At 43.0% G+C, this 19618-nt stretch overlaps 2 protein-coding genes across 10 annotated transcripts in view, besides 4 other annotated features; both read left to right on the top strand.

Annotated features, from left to right (window-relative positions):
* The window catches only part of ZNF83 (zinc finger protein 83), a 78120-nt gene that overhangs the window by 14824 nt on the left and 43678 nt on the right, over positions 1–19618 (top strand). For 7 of the 9 annotated variants that reach the window (NM_001277948.2, NM_001277946.2, NM_001277949.2 and 4 more), the window contains exon 2: positions 14830–14911. The gene's annotated coding sequence lies outside the window, so the exon portion shown is untranslated. Of the gene's footprint in view, positions 1–1419; positions 1492–14829; positions 14912–19618 lie in introns of all 9 variants that reach the window. The other 2 variants (NM_001277947.2, NM_001348019.2) reach the window with 1 other exon arrangement.
* LOC122539214 (Zinc finger protein LOC122539214) overlaps positions 1–19618 on the top strand; it is a 40050-nt gene that overhangs the window by 14824 nt on the left and 5608 nt on the right. Inside the window, exon 2 of the mRNA NM_001396016.1 lies at positions 14830–14911. Coding sequence (NP_001382945.1) covers positions 14849–14911 — 63 coding nt within the window. The 5' untranslated portion in view covers positions 14830–14848. The remainder of the gene's footprint in view (positions 1–14829; positions 14912–19618) is intronic.
* Positions 1164–1663: an enhancer, noted in NCBI's record as "H3K4me1 hESC enhancer chr19:53177263-53177762 (GRCh37/hg19 assembly coordinates)". NCBI's record gives its function as "activates a minimal SCP1, AML or CMV promoter by ChIP-STARR-seq in naive H9 embryonic stem cells {active_cell/tissue: H9 hESC(naive)}" and the evidence as "EXISTENCE:reporter gene assay evidence [ECO:0000049][PMID:30033119]".
* Positions 4874–6073: an enhancer, noted in NCBI's record as "P300/CBP strongly-dependent group 1 enhancer chr19:53172853-53174052 (GRCh37/hg19 assembly coordinates)". NCBI's record gives its function as "activates an origin of replication core promoter dependent on BRD2, BRD4, P300/CBP, MED14 and CDK7 cofactors, with strong dependence on P300/CBP, by STARR-seq in HCT116 cells {active_cell/tissue: HCT116}" and the evidence as "EXISTENCE:reporter gene assay evidence [ECO:0000049][PMID:35650434]".
* Positions 6580–7081: an enhancer, noted in NCBI's record as "H3K27ac hESC enhancer chr19:53171845-53172346 (GRCh37/hg19 assembly coordinates)". NCBI's record gives its function as "activates a minimal SCP1, AML or CMV promoter by ChIP-STARR-seq in primed H9 embryonic stem cells {active_cell/tissue: H9 hESC(primed)}" and the evidence as "EXISTENCE:reporter gene assay evidence [ECO:0000049][PMID:30033119]".
* Positions 11022–11522: an enhancer, noted in NCBI's record as "H3K4me1 hESC enhancer chr19:53167404-53167904 (GRCh37/hg19 assembly coordinates)". NCBI's record gives its function as "activates a minimal SCP1, AML or CMV promoter by ChIP-STARR-seq in primed H9 embryonic stem cells {active_cell/tissue: H9 hESC(primed)}" and the evidence as "EXISTENCE:reporter gene assay evidence [ECO:0000049][PMID:30033119]".

Genomic DNA, 19618 nt, shown 5'->3' with positions numbered 1-19618 from the left:
TCTGGATGCAAATACTGTTTCTTTTCAGCCTATCGATTTTGTAATGCTGAACACCCCAATTTCCCCGTGAGCCCATCCCCTCCAACACCACTCTCACTGAGTAAGTCAAGACCTTGTTCATCCACTGGACAAAATTATAGGAGGCCGCTTAAATCAGTGTGTGCAGGGTATGATGACTCAGCACATGATCCATGAGGGATGGCTTCAGAACCACTGTCAGCAGCGCAGCTCAGCGCTTGTGTCCCAGCTCAGCCCTTGTATCCCCCTTGATATATTTCTTTCTGTTCTTGTATTTTCTGTGACTGGTCATTTCCTGTACTGCCTGGGCATACTATTGTGCTTAAGTACATGTCGTGGGATCCTTCAGGCCTAGGATCAAGTCTTGTCCCTCACTTACCGTACATGCAAATTGGGGTGAAGTACATGAACACTGTGGGCCTGGTGTCCTTATTTGAGAAGTAATGTTAATTTGCCCCCAGGTTTTTAAAACAAGTTAATGCTATTAGATGGCTTCAAGTAACGCAAGCTTTATAGTACAGATTCTGAACTTCCTTTGTTTAATAAGATTTGTCAGCCTTCAGTGACATTGGTGATTAGATGCCCCTTTTCCTGTGTCACTCATTTCACTGTCTTGTCAGAAATAGCTTAGAGTAGCTGGCCGTGGTGGCTCATGCCTGTAATCCCAGCACTTTGGGAGCCCAAGGTGGGTAGATCACTTGATGTCAGAAGTTTTAGACCAGCCTGGCCAACAGAGGTTAGCCACTTTTCCCAGCCGGTTTTTTGTTTCTTTGACAAAAACTGATAGGGATTTGTATGGGCGTTGTGTTAAATCTAAATCATCTTGGGTTGTATAATCATTTAACGAGATTAAGTTTTCCAATCTATCAATATTGGTTGTATCTCTATGTTTTTAATCATTTTGATCAATGTTCATAGATTTCAAGGTAGAAACTTCTCGCATTTTTACGTTTATTCCTAAGTATATCTTAGTTTAAATTCTCTAGAAAATGGAAGTGTTTTCTTAATTTCCTTTTAAAATTTTTTACTGTTATTGCATGGAAATTCAACTAATTTTGGTGCTAATATTGTACTCTGCAAATCCACTGAATGTTTATTAGTTCCACTTGTATTTTGGTTGAGTCTTTGTGACTTTCTACACAGAGGATCGTGTCATCTACAAACAAATAAAATTTTATTTATTTCTTTCTGATTTGGATGAGTTTGATTTCTTTTGCTATTTCATTGCTCTGGCTAGGACAGTCAGTATTGATTGAATAGAAAGGGTGAGAACGTTCTAGCATCATGTGAGATCCTACAGGAAAAGCATTCAATTTTTCCTGATTGGTTATTTCAGCTGTGGTCATTTCATGGATGGTCTTTTATATTGTTGAGGTAAATTTCCTTCTTTATTTTGTTTAGGGTTTCTATGATGACAGGATGGTCCTAAGTCTTCACACATCAGGGCCACAGCCCCAACCTCACAGGAAACAGGTGATCTTTTGAAAGGCTTAAGGCCCAAGAGTTCATTTGAGGGCTTTTTAACCTGTGGATTTGGTCTAGAGCCATATCAGAGGGTTGTGTCTGTGTGAGTGTGCAAATGTGTGGTGCTTTCCAAGTTCAGTTGACATTGGTAATTTTTTTTTTTTTTTTTTTTTTTGAGATGGAGTCTCACTCTGTTACCCAGGCTGCAGGGCAGTGGCATGATCTCGACTCACTGCGGCCTCCACCTCTCAGCTTCAACCAATTCTCCTGCCTCAGCCTCCCTAGTAGCTGGGATTACAGGCACACACCACCAGGCCCGGTTAATTTTTTGTATTTTTAGTAGAGATAGGGTTGCACCATGTTGACCAGGCTGGTCTCGAACTTTTGACCTGAGGTGATTGGCCCACCTCAGCCTCCCAAAGAGCCACTGCTCCTGGCCTAATAATTTTTTATTTATTTATTTTTTTGAGTTGGAGTCTCACTCTGTCACCCAGGCTAGAGTGCAGTTGCATGATCTCTGTCTCCAGAAAAAACAAAAAACAAAAAGATAATATTTGCATCGTTATTGGCTCATTTTTGATTACTTGGGAAAACAGCTTTCAAAAGCTTAAGGTTTTTAAATACATGTGACTTTCTATATTTTTTTTCTGATGTTCTGTTTATAGCATTTTGTGTGTGTGTGTGTGTGTGATGGAGTTACACTCTTCTTGTGTACCCTGGAGTGTAGTGGTGCGATCTCAGCTCACTGCAACCTCTGCCTTCTTGGCTCAAATGATTCTCCTGCCACAGCCTCCTGAATATCTGAGATTACAGGCATGCGCCATCACCCTCGGCTAATTTTGTATTTTTTTAGAGACAGGGTTATACCATGTTGGTCAGGCTGGTCTCGAACTCTTGACCTCAGGGGATCCACCCATCTTGGCTCCCAAAGTGCTGGGATTCAAGCATGAGCCACTGTGCCCAGCCATTTGTTTAGTTTTTTGAGATGGAGTCCAGCTCTTTCGCACAGTCTGGAATGCAGTGGTGCAATCTCCACTCACTGCAACCTCTGCTCCCTGGGTTTAAGTGATTCTCATGCCTCAGTCTCCTGAGTAGCTGGGATTACAGGCTCACATCCAGTTTTTTTTGTATTTTTGGTAGAGACAGGGCTTATAGGTTTGAGCCACCACACCTGGCCATCCCCATTTTTATATGTACAATTTAATCATTGACTACAGTCATTCTGTTGTGTTATGAAATAATAGGTCTTATTCTATTTTTTGTACCCATTATCATGTTCTATTTATTAATTATTTCTGATTAAAATAAACTTTTTTGCCATGCACGGTGGCTCATGTCTGTAATCCCAGCACTTTGGAAGGTCAGGATTTGGAGACCAGCCTGGCCAACACGGTGAAACCCCGTCTCTACTAAAAATACAAAAATTAACCCAGCATGATGGCGAGCACCAATAATCCCAGCTACCTGGGAGGCTGAGGCAAGAGAATCATTTGAACCCAGGAGGCAGATGTTGCAGTGAGCCGAGACCGTGCCATTGCACCCCAGCCTAGGCAACAAGAACCAAACTCAATCTCAAAAATAAATAAGTAACTTAATTAATTTTTAAAACATAAAGATGAGGTGCTATGTTGCCTAGGCTGGACTCCAACTGTTGGGCACTAGCCATCCTCCTGCCTCAGCCTCCCATCATGCTCGGATTACAGGCACAAGCCACCATGCCTGACGACATTATGCTTTTTTAAACTTGCTAATATTCTAGATATGCTAATTTCCCTTCTAAATGTAATCATATTTTAGCTAATTACTAGTGTTTGATAGATGAATTCTTCCATAGCTAGGGATGTGGGAGAAAAACATAGTTCATAGTACATGTTAACTTACAGATATAGTCATAAAAGTATTACATGCAGAAATGAGGTGATTTATAATTTCATTTTATTTTTATTTTTATTTTTTTGAGACAGAATCTCACTCTTTTGCTCAGGCTGGAGAGCTGTGGTGAGATCTTTGCTCACTGCAACCTCTGCCTCCTGGATTCAAGAGATTCTCCTGCCTCAATCTCCTGAGTAGCTGAGATTACAGTTTTGTGCCACCTTACCCAGCTAATTGTTGTATTTTTAGTACAGATGGGGTTTCACCATGTTAGCCAGGCTAGTCTCAATCTCCTGACCTCTGGGTCATCCACCTGCCTCGACCTCCCAAAGTGCTGGGATTACAGGTGTGAGTCAATGTGCCCAGCCAATTTTATAACTTAGTTATATTTTTTCAGGGCCCAAGTAAAACGGAATAACTTGACTGCAATGTATTCTTAGTAATATTTCATGATCTTTCTCTATATGAAAATAAATCCTAACATTTAAAGACTGCATATTTTATAGCCTTTGTTATTCCCACCTGATAGAACACTCAGGAGAGAATAACAAAGAAAACACCTAAAATAGATTGCAATTGGATGGGTGTGGTGGCTTGCCTGTAACCCCAACACTTTGGGAAGCAAAGGTGGGTTGATCGCTTGAGTCCAGGAGTTGAAGGCTAGCCTGAGCATCATAGTGGGACCACCCCTCTACAAAGTACTAACAAATTAGCCAGGCTTGGTGGTGAGGGCCTGCAGCTCCAGCTAGTTGGGAGGTGTGGCGGGAGGATTGCTTGAGCACCAGAGGTTGAGGGTGCAAGGAGCAGTGTTCCTGCCACTGCATTCCAGCCGGGGTGACAGAACTAGGTCCTGTCTGAAGGAAAAAAAAAAAGTACAACTTGAAGATAAAAGGTACATTTTCTAATTTTTTCAGAAGGCACATAGAGTGAATTTAATATTACAATACATTTATAAATTATTGATGTTAGCATATTATGTTGTCAACAACATTTATCGTAAAAGTAGTTATATTGCAGGGAAGAACTGTAAAAAAAAGTATTTGAGAATGAGGTGTAAGCTCTGATTTTTTTATCTTGTCCAAATTCCTATGTAAAGAGTCTAGGGGGTCATGCCTTACAAACCACAAAACATATGGCAAAGAAGAAAGTCAAAATATTTGACCTCAAAACATGTTTCTGTGCCATATTTTGAAATGGTCCTTCAAAGGTATCGTTTGTGAGGGGTTCATGTGCGTCTGCAAAGAATCTCTGTTAACATAGCTAGATCTTTTTCTTCTAGGCCCTACCAATCCTGAAGAGAATAACTAAAAATCTAACACCTTTTAAAGGTCTGAATAAAAAACATTCATCATCTATTTTCTCTGAAGGCAGCCAGCAGAGGACTTCAAAAGAACCTTGGTCTCCAACATCTTTTATCTTAACCTGAACATTTCCTCTCTATTGATCCCAGGTATTTAGACAAACTCAACCAATTCTAATCAGAAAATGTTTAAATTTACCTGTAGCCTGGAAGCTCCCACTTTGAGTTGTCCCACCTTTCTGAACAAAATTAATGCATCTTTTAAATGTATTTGATTGATGTCTAATGCCTCCCTAAAATGTCTAAGAAGAAGCTGTTCCCCATCACCTTGGACATATGTTCTCAGGACCTCCTGAGAGTTGTGTCATGGGCCATGATTATTCATATTTAGTGCAGAATAAATATTTTAAAATATTTTACAGAGTTTGACTCTTTTCCATGACAAATATAACTCATTTTAAGTGTGTTGTAAATAAAGTTTCGGTGCTGCAAAAGAAATAGCACCAAATATAAAATTTTCTTTTTTTCTTCTCAGAAAGGCAATTTACTTATATAGAAGGTTGTGCCCTCACAGAGGGAGCAATGGTGAGTGCGTACCTGAACAAGGGAGGGGAAGGGGTTATTTCTGATGCACATGGCCCTTGCTGCTGTGTCATTCCCCTATTGGCGAGGGTTAGACCACACAGGCTAATCTAATTCCAATTGGCTAATTTAAAGAGAGTGACAAGGTGAGTGGTTTGGCAGGAAAAATGTTATGGAATGAGGGTGGAGAATGAGTCAGGGTGGAGCAGGTAATCGGAGTGAGTCAGGGTGGGGCAGGTGATCAGAATGAGTCAAGGTGGAGCAGGTGATTGGAATGAGGCAGGGTGGAGCAGGTGATCAGAATGAGTCAAGGTGGAGCAGGTGATTGGAATGAGTCAGGGTGGAGCAGGTGATCGAAAAAGGTTGCTTTATGAGGAAGTTAAGTTTAAAAGTAGAAGGCAAAGAATTGAACATACTGACTTATTGATTCTTTGAAAAGAAATTTAGAACTCATATCTAACATTCCCTTCTCTTGCATTTTCCTTACAGCTCTTTCTCTTCAAACTTCTTTAACATGTCTTGGCTTAGTCATTCGGTTTGATTTTCCAAAATAAGAAGAAGCTTCTTTGGATAAGGTGGAGGATAGTTAAGGGAGATTTTAGTAACTGCCATTTTTATGAGCCTCTGCACCAACCCACGGATGCATGGTGTGACAGAGCACCTGACAAGAATAAGTACACCCATTACGGCTGTGAGGGAAGTAAGAATTGAGGCTACTATTCTTTTCCATCTACCGAACCACTTTTCTAGCCATCCTGAAAAGGGGTCATTTACCCCTGAGTTGTTCACTAACTTATTGGACAGAGCAGTCAGACCTTGCAATGTCTTTGTTTTACTTTCAATGGGCGCAGTGTTGTTTGGGATGAAGGTACAACACTGAGTTTTAATTATGATGCAAACTCTTCCTTTTTATGCTAATATCATGTCAAAGGCTATCCCATTTTCCCAAGACATCTGGCTGGTAGCCCCTAATTGCTCAGCTATTCCTTTAACAGCATCTCTAGTGTAATTAATAGATAGCTGTTGGTTGTCATAGATTAGTTTATCCAGTTTACATTTTATTAATTGTCACCCACCAAAACATTGACTCAAATCCTGCAGCTATTTGATTTTGGGCTTTAAATTGATCTAGTCTTCCCCATGGGACTCTAATTGTGTCTAAATAGACGTGAGAGTCAAAAGACCCATAAGGGACTTCTTTTGCTTTATGGTGTCTTATTTTTCCTTTCTCTGGTTGATGAAATGCCAGGGTGAAAGGGATAGCCAATTGGACTAAAGCATAAGTGCCACTTCAGTTACTCAGTAAAGTGTCCAGTAAAGGTCCACCATAATACCACTATGCATCTGCTCAGGGATGAATAAAGAGTGGCTGATTGGTAAACTTTTGAAAAATTTTAAGCTCTCTGCATCCCTTCAGGTCTCCAAGGAATGTTAAGTTTCCTCCCTGTCATGAGGGACATAAAGTGAACTTAGTGTTGGGAGTTGGAAGCTGGATGGCCCTGGAGGGCTGACCCACAGGGTGTCGAACTTTGGGATATAGCAGACAGAGAGAGCTTGGCATAACTTGTTACCCCAGGATGTAGAATCCTGGAAAAGAGCTAGCATCCAGCCCACACCTGGTCTACTGGAGGACAGCCCTCGTGGAAAGGGGACAATCTGGGCCTCTGGCCTGCCATGTGCACAAGCATAACAATTGCCTTTGTTCAACATGCAGAGGGAATATTTGATCCATTTTAGCCAGGCATTTACATCTTTATACCCTGTTTCAATAGCTATGGTTTGCCTTAGGTCTCCTATTTCTACTACTGAGAACTTGCTTTTGTCATTTGGCACGAGGCATGTCATAGTTTGATTTCATAGATTTGGGAAAGGGGCAGCTGTAGGAGGTGGAGGAGGGAGAAAAAAGCACACCCTAAAGAAGCCTATAGGATCCTTTCCAGTGACCTCTGCTCCTAAACCATAGAAATGCTCTAAAGTTGGGTTAGAGTTGCTAGTGGTAGGAATAGTAATGGATATAAGCACTGGGAAAGGAAAGGAAAGGAAAAGATAGATAGACTAAGCTTTCCTTAGCTTTAATTTGGTAGGGCTTGATCCAGGAACAGTGGCCCATGATTCTGATGATAATGGCACCTGCTTGACTCAGGTGTGATGTGTCCCTCCCTTTCTGCTGTATGAACAGCAGTCTCAGTGGTTAGCAGCACAAGATAGGGTCCTTCCTAGGCTGGCTCGAGTTTCCATTCTTTCCATCCTTTGATGAGAACGTCATCCCCAGGCCGATGCTGATGTACTGGAAACTCCGAAGCTGGCGCCTGTGCTGAGAGACTCTTGTTTTAAAGGAAGAGAAGGTGGAGGATAAACCAAGTATATAATTTCTAAGAAATTTATCATTTGTTTTAAACGTGGGGACATCAGCAGTGGACTTTATAATCCTTGGTGCCTTCTTGCTGAGAAATTTTCTTTAGCACCTATTTTTATTAGTTTTTAGACCAAAGAAAGCCAAATACCATTTTATATTTAACACTTCATGTATGATTTTTATACCAGATAAGCTACATTTCACCTTTATATTAGTGTTTTATTAATGTTAAACTTAATTTTAATAAAACCTTGTAGACATATTTATCCAATGTTAATGTCTGACCATAAGGTAAGATTTTTATAGACTCTTTAACCTTTTATAATTTTTGTTGAAGAGCATGTTAGTGCTTTAAGAAAAACTGGTTGTGCTTTTATTTTAATATCCAGTTCACAGAAAAACTGGATATTACCCCTTTAACTTTTGCCAGTATGTTTACACACAGAATTTCCTTTACAATTAACATTTTGAAACTTGCTTAAACCTTTAAAACAAATTTTTTTAATCTTTCAATGTAGGTAAAAATCCACATTCTTCTGCCTCCCTATAATCCTTTTACCAAAAGTATATTTTACTTTCCTTACACAACTTGCACATAAACTGTTTCTTCAACAGTTTTACAATCAGGAGGACTAATTACTTTCAAATTATATGACATTTCTTGCATAAATTCCCTCTTATAACTTTTCTTTTTTCACAACTTTGACAGACAATTCTTCAACATGCCTCAACTTTCTGAATTGTTGCAAACATCCCTTTCTTTAAACCACCATTTGATTTATTTTAGGACAAGAATTTACCATATAACATTCTTTTTACATAAATTCTCCTTCCTCCTTTTTTTTTTTTTTTTTTTCAAAGATGATAACCATTCTTTCCCAAAGTGAACTTCCTTCATGTCTGTGAACTAGACTGCCTAAGGTCACAAGATTAGAAGTTAGGATAATACATGTTACAATGTTAACTTTTAGCAAACTTGACTTTCGTTGAAAACGTTGTAAGTTTGGGATTTCAATTCTTTGCTATTAATAAGACCTTGTTCAGTCCATATTAACTTAGAAGTGGTATAGGTGGCCTCCTTCCTGATTCTGTAACTACTTTAAAGTTTGGCTGAGTGCAAACAGCTTGCACATTTCAGCAGTCCAATTATTAGGCAATTTTCCTAACTCTGCTTCTGCAAGAGTTTCTTTATCACTTATTGAATACCCATTATGTCTTTTTCCCTCAGTCACCTGGGAGAAACCCTGTATAGTCCTGTCTGGAAGGGAGTTCCTCCTAGGCCTGGTCAGACCTTTGCATGGTAAATAATTAAGATTTAGACCCCCTGTTAGAAAACCTGCTGGGTTAATGGAATTTTCAGTGGTTAATGTTAAATCATCTTTTTCTACCAGAATAGCCTCATACTTGAAGATTCTTGAGTCAGTAAGCTACCATTTTGCCTTTTTTTTTTTTTTTTTTTTTTGACTTAGGATAGTTCTTCCTTGATGAGGTGTGCTCACAATGAGGTTTCCTCTAAAAGTTATTTTTCTGTTTCTTCTGTTAGCTGAGCAGTTGCCACTACAGATTGAATGCATTTGGGCCATCCGCGGTTTACTGGGTTAAGGATTTTTGATAGGTAAGCTATGGGTTGTCAGTGGCCTCAGTGCTTTCAGGATATGCCATTGTTTACACTGACAACAGGGTGGTATTGGAGTGTTATAGGGTCATGGAGAAGACCTTCAATTATCAATTATAGGTTTTAAATTTACCCTGGCTTTTAAAGGAATAGGGTATACTGTTTTCTCTCTACTACTACTCTCTCTCTCTCTTTTCTGACTCTCTGTCTCTTTCTCCCTCTCTCTTTGACTCCCTTTTTGTCTCTCTGTCTCTTTCTCTCTCTCTCTTTGACTCTCTGTCTCTTTCTTTTTTTTTTTTTTTGAGATGGAGTCTTGCTCTGTTGCCCAGGCTGGAGTGCAGTGGTGCGATCTTGGCTCACTGCAAGCTCCGCCTCCCGGGTTCACACCATTCTCCCACCTCACCCTTCCAAGTAGCTGGGACTACAGGCACCCATCACCATGCCCGGCTAATTTTTTTTTTTTGTATTTTTAGTAGAGACGGGGTTTCACTGTTAGCCAGGATGGTCTCAATCTCCTGACCTCGTGATTTGCCCACCTCAGCCTCCCAAAGTGGGGGGATTACAGGTGTGAGCCACCGCACATGGCCAAGGCAATTTACTTCTATAGAAGGGTGCGTCCTCATAGATGGAGCAATGGTGAGTGCACACTTGGGCAAGGGACAGGAAGGGGTTCTTACTCCAGACGCATGAGGCCCCTGCTGCTGTGTCATTCCCCTATCGGCTAGGATTAGACCGCACAGGCTAAGCTAATTCCGATTGGCTAATTTAAAAAGAGTGATGGGGTGAGTGGTTTGGTGGGAAAAATGATTATGGAATGAGTCAGGTTGGAGAATTACTCAGGGTGGAGCAGGTGATTAAAAAAGGTTGCTTTATGAGGAAGTTAAGTTTAAAAGTAGAAGGCAAATAATTGCACATACTGACACATTGATTCTTTGAAGAGAAATTTAGAACTCATATCTAACAAGTGCAGCATAAAATAACAAATGTAAGGAACAACTGGGCAATTTATATGCACTGTTACAAGGTCAGTGCTTTTTTTTTTAATCACTTTTTTTCTTATTGAGACGGAGGAGGGAACTCTGGGGTAGAGGGTCTTACTTTGTCGCCCAGGCTGGCCTGGACTTCCCAGCTCAGCTATCCTCCTACCCCTGCTTCCTGAGTAGCTGGGACTCCTGGCTCCCACCACCCCACCCACATCCCTGCTGTGTTTAAGCAGCAGGTGGTGACCTCACTCCTCCCTGGCCTGAGCCCTCTGCTCCCCACCCCAGGCAGTGGCTCTAGGAAAGTCTCTGGAGCTGAGCACAGGGTGGACTCTCCCACCCCAGTGAATGAAGAATAGAAAGGGAGAGGATTTCTAATTGGTTCTGTGGGCCGTCAGCATAAAATTGTACATTTGGCTCAGGCAGGACTTTGCATTTCGCATTCTAGTTTGCATTCCTGCCCTAGACAACTTTGAGGTTTTGGAATTAAATTGCTAAAATTAATTTCAATAGTAAGGAACTTTCCTGGATCTAATTACCACCCCATGTTCACTTCTCAGGGAGGTACTATTTCCCTGACTCCTGAGCTGTTCCAGCCTCACTGGTGGGTTTCGCCTTCAAAACCTGGAAAACAGAAACACGGAGAGTGAGATAGAGGGAAGCTCAGGCCCTGACCCCTTCATTCCCCTGCGAACCCCTCACAGCCCAGGCCTCTTCCCCCCTCACCCCCCCACACCAGGCCCCTTGTCCTTCATGCCCCACCCTGGCCTCACTCAGGCCCCACCCACTTAATCTGCATCCCTTCCTGGCCTTGCTCAGGCCCGGCTCACCTCCTGGGGTTCCACCCCCCAGTCCTGGCTTTTGTCCTGCCCTAATTGGCACAGACCCAGAAGCAGATGGCGTGGACTTAAAAGTTCGTGTTAATTGGCCTTAGATTCCCTGCCCCTAGACCCAGGACCCAGTGGTTCCTTCTTCTTCTTTTTTTAATTGGAGATGGGGTCTCACTTTGACACCCAGGTTGGAGAGCTGTTACAGGATCAGAGCTCACCGCAGCATAAACCTCCTGGGTTCAACGGATCCTCCCACTTCAGCCTCCAGAGTAGCTGGGACCACAGCTACATGCCACCGCATAGGGCAAATTTTTGTGTTCCTCATAGAGACGGGCTTTCTCCATGTTGCCCAGGCTGGTCTCGAACTCTAGGGCTTAAGGGATCCAGCCGCATCGGCCTCCCAAAGTCTTGGGATTACAGGCATGAGCCACCACACCCAGCTTGTTCTTAATTAAAAAAAAAAAAAAAAAATAGGCCTGGTGCAGTGGCTCACACCTGTAATCCCAGCAGTTTGGAGGCCAAGGCTGGTGGATCACCTAATTTCAGGAGTTCGAGACCAGCCTGGCCAACATGGTGAATCCTCATCTCAACTGAAATACTGAAATTAGCTGAGCATGGTGATGCTTGCCTGTAATTCCAGCTACTGGGGAGACAGGCAGGAGAATAGCTTGAATCCGGGAGGTGGAGGTTGCAGTGAGCCGAGATCGCATAACTGCATTCCAGCCGGGCAACAGAGCGAGACTCCGTCTCAATAAAATAAAATAAAGTAAAATAAATAACTGCTTCTCAAATAAGCTTTGGTAGAATCTTACGACATCACATTATCATTTTCAAACTATTATATGTGTTTTGAATTTTCTTCTTTGACCTCACATTTCATTAGATGTATATTTTTTAACCATTTTAAAATTGTTTTTCTCTGAAATTTATTGTGTTCAGTTTAGATTGAGCACTGCCTGCATTCTAGTCTTTATTATGTATTGGAAACATTTTCTGGTACCTGATAAATGATTTTAGGTTGTTTCAATGTGTACTCAATAAAGATATCAAGGAAATTTTTTCTTTACACTAACATCAAAATTTAGTTCAAGTAGCCTATTACTCCATTTTCTTTCCTCATGTCATCTGATTAAATGGTGAGCTGTGAGCCTCTAAGTAAACATTTTCCTCAAGTTCCTCTGGTCCATAATATTCTTTGCAGATGTTGAAGGATGGGCTGGATTGACTTAGAACCTTGTTCCAGCAGAGTCCATGTGTTCATGAAGAAAACATTTGCTCAGATCTCATTTCTACCACTGCCTCTCTTTCAGTGTTTTAAATACCTATAGCTAGGGGTTCACAATTGTGTGTATTTTGAACGTATTACTGTCATTTTTCTGGGAAAATAATTGCATGTTTAGGATTCATGCCATCAGGACCTTAGACATTGAAAGAGACATTTCTTTTGCTCAGGTATATAACAGATGGTCCTGGAATTTTTTTTTTCCTTTTTTGAGATGGAGTGTCACTCTGTCAGCCATGCTTGAGTGCAGTGATACGATCTTGGCTCACTGCAACCTCTGCTTCCCAGGTCCAAGTGATCCTCCCTGGTCAGCCTCCCAAATAGCTGGGACCACAGATGCACATCACCATGCCTGGCTATTTTTTGTACTTTTCATAGAGACGGGATTTCACCGTGTTGCCCAGGTTGGTCTCAAACTCCTGGGCTCATGTGATCTACCCCTGTCAGCCTCCCAAAGTGCTGGGATTACAGGCATGAGTCACCACACCTGGCCCATCCTGCAATTTTCTAGAGAAAAAACCAACACATTCTGTTGGCCCTTCCAGTCCATCACATAGGAATGAGCCGCACCTCCTTCTGACTCAACTCAGAGCTTCTCTGGATAACTTGGTGAAATGTCTCCTACTCTGAACCTCAGTGACCCCCATCTGTAATATACAGGTGAGGAATAAGACAAGAAAAGCTCAGTCAGAGTGACACTGACCCCTGAAATGATTGGCCAAATAGTTTGTGGCTTTTTCTATACGAGATGGTAATGCTCAGGTGTAATATGAATTTTAAATAAGTTACTGTTCTCCAAAAATATAAAAAACACAAGTACCAGAATGGAAAAAACAGGTAATTAGACTCAGATCATCTTGAACCTCTCCTTGTCTCTGTCCACACCCACTGCCCTTCCATATCGTGTCATTTCACAACTTTAACCCACCTACACGACTCCATGTTCCCTACAGGCCTCTCCCCTGAGCTCTGCAATCCTGTGTTCAGTTGGCTCCTCAGCTCTCTGCTGGGATATTAAACAGGCGTCTCCAAATGCACATTTCCATAGGTGACTTCCTAAACCCCTGAACACATTCCCTTGCAGTCCTACATGTCTCAGATGAGGGTGACAGGGTACTTCTGGGGACTTAGCCAAACTTGACAGCATGTATTTTTAAAATGAGAAATGAATTCCATTATTTGTAAATGTTGTAATTTATAACGTAAAGAAAAGTTGTGTGTATACATGAAAGGCGTGAGAAAATACATCATTTCCAAAATTCTTTTGAAGTGTGGGAGAAAAATATTTCAAGACCTCATCCCTATGGATCTGTGCTCCCAGGACCTCCCTGATCTCATCTCCTGCCTGTGTCCTCCTCACTCCCTCTGCTCCAGCCACGCAGGTTTCTTTCCTTTTTCTGGGGCTGAGGTTGCTCCTGTCTCAGGGCCTTCACCTGGGCTGTCCCTCGGCCTAGGACTCTCTGTCCCATCAGCTGCAAGTGACAAGCAGCCTTTCTTCCCTAAGTCTTTGTTGTGACATCACTTTATCTACAGTAACCTTTGTGATCTCCCACAGGCCCCATTTGACATTGCAGCCCCACCTTCACCCCCACCTCTGGTCCATGTTACCTGTTCTGTGTGATTCTTTTAGCTCCTTCGCTGTTCACTGGATCCTGGTGGGAACAAGTCCCCAAGGGGAGAGCAGAGCCAGAAGGTGGGGCTGTGCTCAGCTGGTACCCTCTGAGTGGAGCTCAACCCTGACTTCACATTAGGTTTCTCAGGCATTTTGCAAATACATCTTTTATGCTATTCTATCAAAGATTGCTATTATCATAGGATGGGACACACCCTCAATAATACGATGGCGCTGGTGATTCTCATCTGTGTCCAGCATTGAACATCAAGGCAGTTTCCCCCATATTGAGAACTGAGGTCAGTCTGTGATCCACAGGGAGGTGAGGGGGCTGTGCTCTGCATGGGGTTTGGTTAGGGCCAGATCTGTGTCCTGAAGGTCTGTGCCCTGCTTCAGCGTGTGTGTGGACATTTTCAGGAGGGAGCAAGATCTGAAAATGGGTCAAAATTACCCTTGTAGGTCTTCCTGTGGGGCTTTCTTATCTCTGCATGATCTCTGGTGCAGTGGGCAGTAGAGGACAGTCTTTATACCGGGTAAGGTCTCCCCTGTGTATGTTTTGTCACAGGAAAGGAATGTGTGGTTTCTAAACATTAAATCTCAGCTGGGTCTGGTGGTTTACCCCTGTAATCATAGCTCTTTGGGAGGCTGAGGTGGGCAGATCTCAAGGTCAGGAGATTGAGACTCTCCTGGCCAACATGATGAAACCCCATGTCTACTAAAAATACAAAAATTAGCTGTGCATCGTGGAGTATGGCTTGAATCCCAGCTACTTGGTACACTGAGGCAAGAGAATTCCTTGAACTGGGGAGGCAGAGGTTGCAGTGAGACGAGATCATGTCACTGAACCCCATCATGGTGACAGAGCTGGACTCCATCTCAAAAAAAATTAATTAAATATCATATTTTTTTCTCACACAGAATTAATTTCCAAAGACTCATGTTACATGAGAAAGCCACCAAGAAGACCAAAGAAAAGGAGACAAGGATGGCTCTTCCTCAGGTAAAGTGATATTCCTCAGTGGATTCTTCTCTCTCTTTTCTGATATACCAGGTATTGTAGTAGGCAGACTTCCGTGAGTCTGAAGCGTCCTGCGTCACAAGTTTGCTCGCACTCACCCAAGGCTTTTCTCAGTCCCCGTCATCTTAAATTCTATCTCCCTTTATTGCCCAGGCTGGAGTTCACTGGAGCAATCTGGGATCACTGTAACCTCCACCTCCCAGGGTCAAGAGATTCTCATGCCTCAGCATCCCAAGCAGCTGTGATTATAGGTGTCCACCACCACTCTGGGCTAATTTTGTATTTTTAATAGAGACAGGATTTCACCATGTTGGCCAGGCTGGTCTCAAATCCCTGACTTCACTTAATCTCCTTGACAGTTTTTCACTGTTGCTAAGAATAACACACTGGCTGCCTGTGAGCATGGTGACTTCACTGCAGATATCTGGAAGTTTCCTGCAAGTTGGGGCATTGAAAACTGATTGCTTCTTCTTGGATTTGCCATTTCCTCTTTTAGATGTGGGAAGATTCCATCCCTACCCCCAGCTGCAGAGGTGCCCTCTCTGACTAAGACTATGCAAAATTTCCCACTCACTTAAGCAAAGCTTACTACTGTGGTCTTACCACCATGATTCTTACCACCATGGTCTTACCACCGCAATTCTCCTGCCTCAGCCTCCTGAGTAGCTGGGATTACAGTCGCACACCACCACACCCCGCTAATTTTTTGTATTTTTAGTAGAGATGGGTTTCACTATGTTGGCCAGACTGGTCTCGAACTCCTGACCTCATGATCTGCCCGCCTCAGCCTCCCAAGGTCGTGGGATTACAGGCGTGAGTTACCGCCCACCCAGCCGAGAAATATCTTGATAATATTACAGGAGCTCCCTCTTGGGTGAGAGTTAGCTCTTCTTTTGGCTGTTGTTAGGATTCTTTCTCTATCTCTGAATTTTGACAGTTTTATTATGATGTTGTTTGTTATAGGTCTCTTACTTAGATTTATCCATGTTGGATATTCTTAAGGTGTTGAATTTGTTTCTTTTGCATCCTGAAATTAGAAATTTTTGCCATTATGCCTTCCAACAAGCTTTTCTGTTCCTTTCTTCTTCTCACTCACTTCTGTGACTTCTGGTACTCTTTTTTTTTTTTTTGAGTTGGAGTCTTGCTCTGTTGAGGTATTGCTCCTCACAAGAGAGCATTAGCTGTGGGATCTGCATGTCAACCCTGACCTAAACCACATATGAATAAAACATACACTGACACACAGATAATTCCGTTTTGCTAGTTCTGCTGTGTTTCCGACCAGTAGCCTTAAGCAACTGTCTGAACATTTTTATATACCGTTTCTGTTGAGCTGACAACTATTGTCCCGTGATGAAACCTTAGCTTGACTCAACTTCCCCCAGAAGGTGGTAACCTCGAGTGGGCACCAATGACTTACTGATTACTCACTGGCTTGACCACGAAATCCTTCTTTGCCTTTGTTTTCGGGGGTCGCGTTCCTCATGCTTCCATCGCAGCTTTCCTCAAGAGGGCGGTCCTCACGCTTCCTTCACAGGTTGCCTCAAGAGAGGCTTGAACTGTGGGGGGTCTGTTTCTGCAGATCCCTGACTTTCCTCACACAGGACATCAACTGAGGTATTGCTCCTCACAAGAGGGCATTAGCTGCGGGGGTCTGCCCACGGACCCTGGCCCAGACGGATGAATGAAACGTACACCGACACATAGATATTCTGCTTTGCCAGTCCTGCTGGGTGCCCAATCGCCTGCACACCAAGAGCCGGCCCTGAGCAGCTCGCACTCCAGGCATTTATTTAGAATAGAATTAACAACAGAAGTTTGAGTAAACACACTTGAGGATAATTAGCATGGTTAAGAGAGTAGTTTCATGAATGATTAAAGCTCAGGTACTGTGATCTGAAGTAAATACCATTAAGGGGCAATTTCCCTGGTCAGCCTCCCGCTAGAGGGCCATCTGGCTCAAAGGTTAGTTAATGGAGGTAGGGTAAACAGGCTTAACTGGGGAAGCCTCTATTGTCCCTAGTATTTACCCTATGACCTAATGCTCTAAGGTAAGAACCGGGTGCCTTCAGCCTGTTCAATTATTACAAGCTATATAACCTTTCGGCCTTCCAAAAGGTTTGTGACTATTCCCTATAACTTTCCCTAATATTTCTCTTTAATATTTCTGCCCCTATCTTGAGTAAATCCCAACACTGTCACCCAGGCTGGAGTGCAGTGGTGCAATCTCGGCTTACTCCAGCCTCTGCCTCTGGATTCAAGCGATTCTCTCACCTCAGCTTCCCAAGTAACTGAGGTTACAGGTGCGCACCACCACACCTGGCTAATTGTTGTATTTTTGGTAGAGATGAAATTTCACCATGTTGGCCAGGCCGGTCATGAACTTCTGACCTCAGGTGATCCCCACACCCTGGCTTCCCAAAGTGCTGGAATTACAGGCGTGAGTGCTGAAATTACAGGCATGAGCCAGAACCTGGCCTGGGACTTTCATAATGTGTAGGATGGTGTCCTTGATGGTGTCCTGTTAGTCTGTTTAGACTCCCTTCATTTTTCTTTATTCTTTGTTGTTGTTTCTTTTCCTATTCACTACTTTTTTTTTTTTTTTTTGAGATGAAGTTTCACTCTGGTTGCCGAGGGTGGAGTGCAATGGCATGAACTTGGCTCATTGCAACCTCCGCTTTCATGGTTAAAGCAATTCTCCTGCCTTAGCCTTTTGAATAGCCGGGATTACAGGCATGCATCACCATACCCGGCTAATTTTGTATTTTTAGTAGAGACAGAGTTTCTCTATGTTGATCAGGCTGGTCTTGAGCTACCAACCTCAGGTGATCCCCCCGCCTTGGCCTCCCAAAGTGCTAGGATTACAGTCATGAGCCACCATGCCTGTTTTTTTTTTTAGACAGAGTTTTTCTCTTGTTGCCCAGGCTGGAGTGCAATGATGCAATCTCGGCTCACTGCAACCTCCACCTCCCAGGTTCAAGCGATTCTCCTGCCTCAGCCTCCTAAGTAACTGAGATTACAAGCATGCACCACCACATCTGGCTAATTTTGTATTTTTAGTAGAGACGGGGTTTCTCTATGTTGGTCAGGCTGGTCGCGAATTCCTGACCTCAGGTGATCCGCCTGCCTTGGCATCCCAAAGTGCTGGGATTACAGGCATGAGCTACTGTGCCTGGCCCATGCCTGGCCTTTTTTAAAAAATTATTTTATTATTTTTTGAGACAGTCTCACTCTGTCACCCAGGCTGGAGTGCAGTGGGGAGCCCACCACTACACCCAGCTAATCTTTGTATTTTTAGTAGAGACAAAGTTTCACCATATTGATGAGGCTGGTCTCCGAACTGCTGACCTCAAGTGATCTACCCACCTCAGCCTCCCAAATTCCTGATATGAGCTACCTCACCTGTCCCCTTTTCACTAATTTTTAATTTACATAATGTATTCTGATTTTGAACCCATGTATTGAGTTTTTCCATTTAGTTACTGTATTTTTAGCCCGAGAGTTTCTGTGTAGTTCTTCGTAATTTCTGTATGTTGGCTGACCTTCTCATTTTCTTCATGCATTGCATTTATGATTTCTTGAAGTTGTCTCTTAATTCAATGAGCTTCCAACTTTTGGGAGGGTGGGGGTGATAGGGTCTCGCTGTGTCCCCCAGGCTGGAGTGCAGTGGTGCAATCTTGGATCACTTCAAACTCTGCTCTCCAGGCTCAAGCAATCCTCCCACCTCAGCCTCGTGAGTAGCTGTGGATGTGTCCTCTCTAGGTCTTTGCTTATAATGTCCCGACTGAAGTTAATTGAAGTGTGTGTAGGTGTGATTTGCAATGTGTCCAGGAGAGCATTAATGGAGAAGCCCATGATTTTTTTTTTTTTTTTTTTTTTGAGACGGAGTCTCGCTCTGTCGATAGGCTGGAATGAAATGGCACTATCTCAGCTCACTGCAACCTCAGCCTCCCGAGTTCAAGTGATTCTTCTGCCTCAGCCTCCTGAGTAGCTGGGGCTACAGGCGCACACCACCATACCAAGCTAATTTTTGTGTTTTTAATAGTGTCAGTGTTTCAGCATGTTGGCCCAGCTTGTCTTAATCTCTTGACTTTGTGATCCACATGCCTCAGCCTCCATAAGTGTTCGGATTATAGGTGTGAGCCACCATGCCAAGCCAAGCCCATGGTTTTAGTAGAAAACACATTATTTGCAATATATACATACATATATTTTTATTTTGAGAAAGACTTGCTCTGTTGCCCTGGCTGGAGTGCAGTGCTGTCATCTCAGCTTACCACAACCTCTGCCTCCAGAGTTGAAGCAATTCCCCTGCCTCGGCTTCCCAAATAGCTGGGATTACAGGCACATTCCCCCACCATGCCCAGCTAATTTTTCTATTTTTAGTAGATATGGGGTTTCACAATGTAGCCCAGGTTGGTCTCAAACTCCTGACCTTAAGTGATCCACCTACCTTGGTATCCCAAAGTGACAGGATTATAGGTGTGAGCCCCCATGCCTGGCTATATATATATATAGAGAGAGAGAGAGAGAGACGGAGTCTCACTCTGCAGCCCAAGCTGAATTGCAGTGGCACAATCTCAGCTCACCGCAACCTTTGCCTCTGGAGCTCAAGCTATACTCCTACCTCAGCCTCCCAAATAGCTGGGACTAGAGGCATGCACAACCACACCCAGTTAATGTTTTTGT

The sequence above is a fragment of the Homo sapiens genome, chromosome 19 (assembly GCF_000001405.40).
Source record: "Homo sapiens chromosome 19, GRCh38.p14 Primary Assembly".
Classification (NCBI taxonomy): Eukaryota; Metazoa; Chordata; class Mammalia; order Primates; family Hominidae; genus Homo; species Homo sapiens.
Note: the sequence above shows the minus strand (reverse complement) of the source record. Positions and strands in the feature narration are given on the sequence as shown.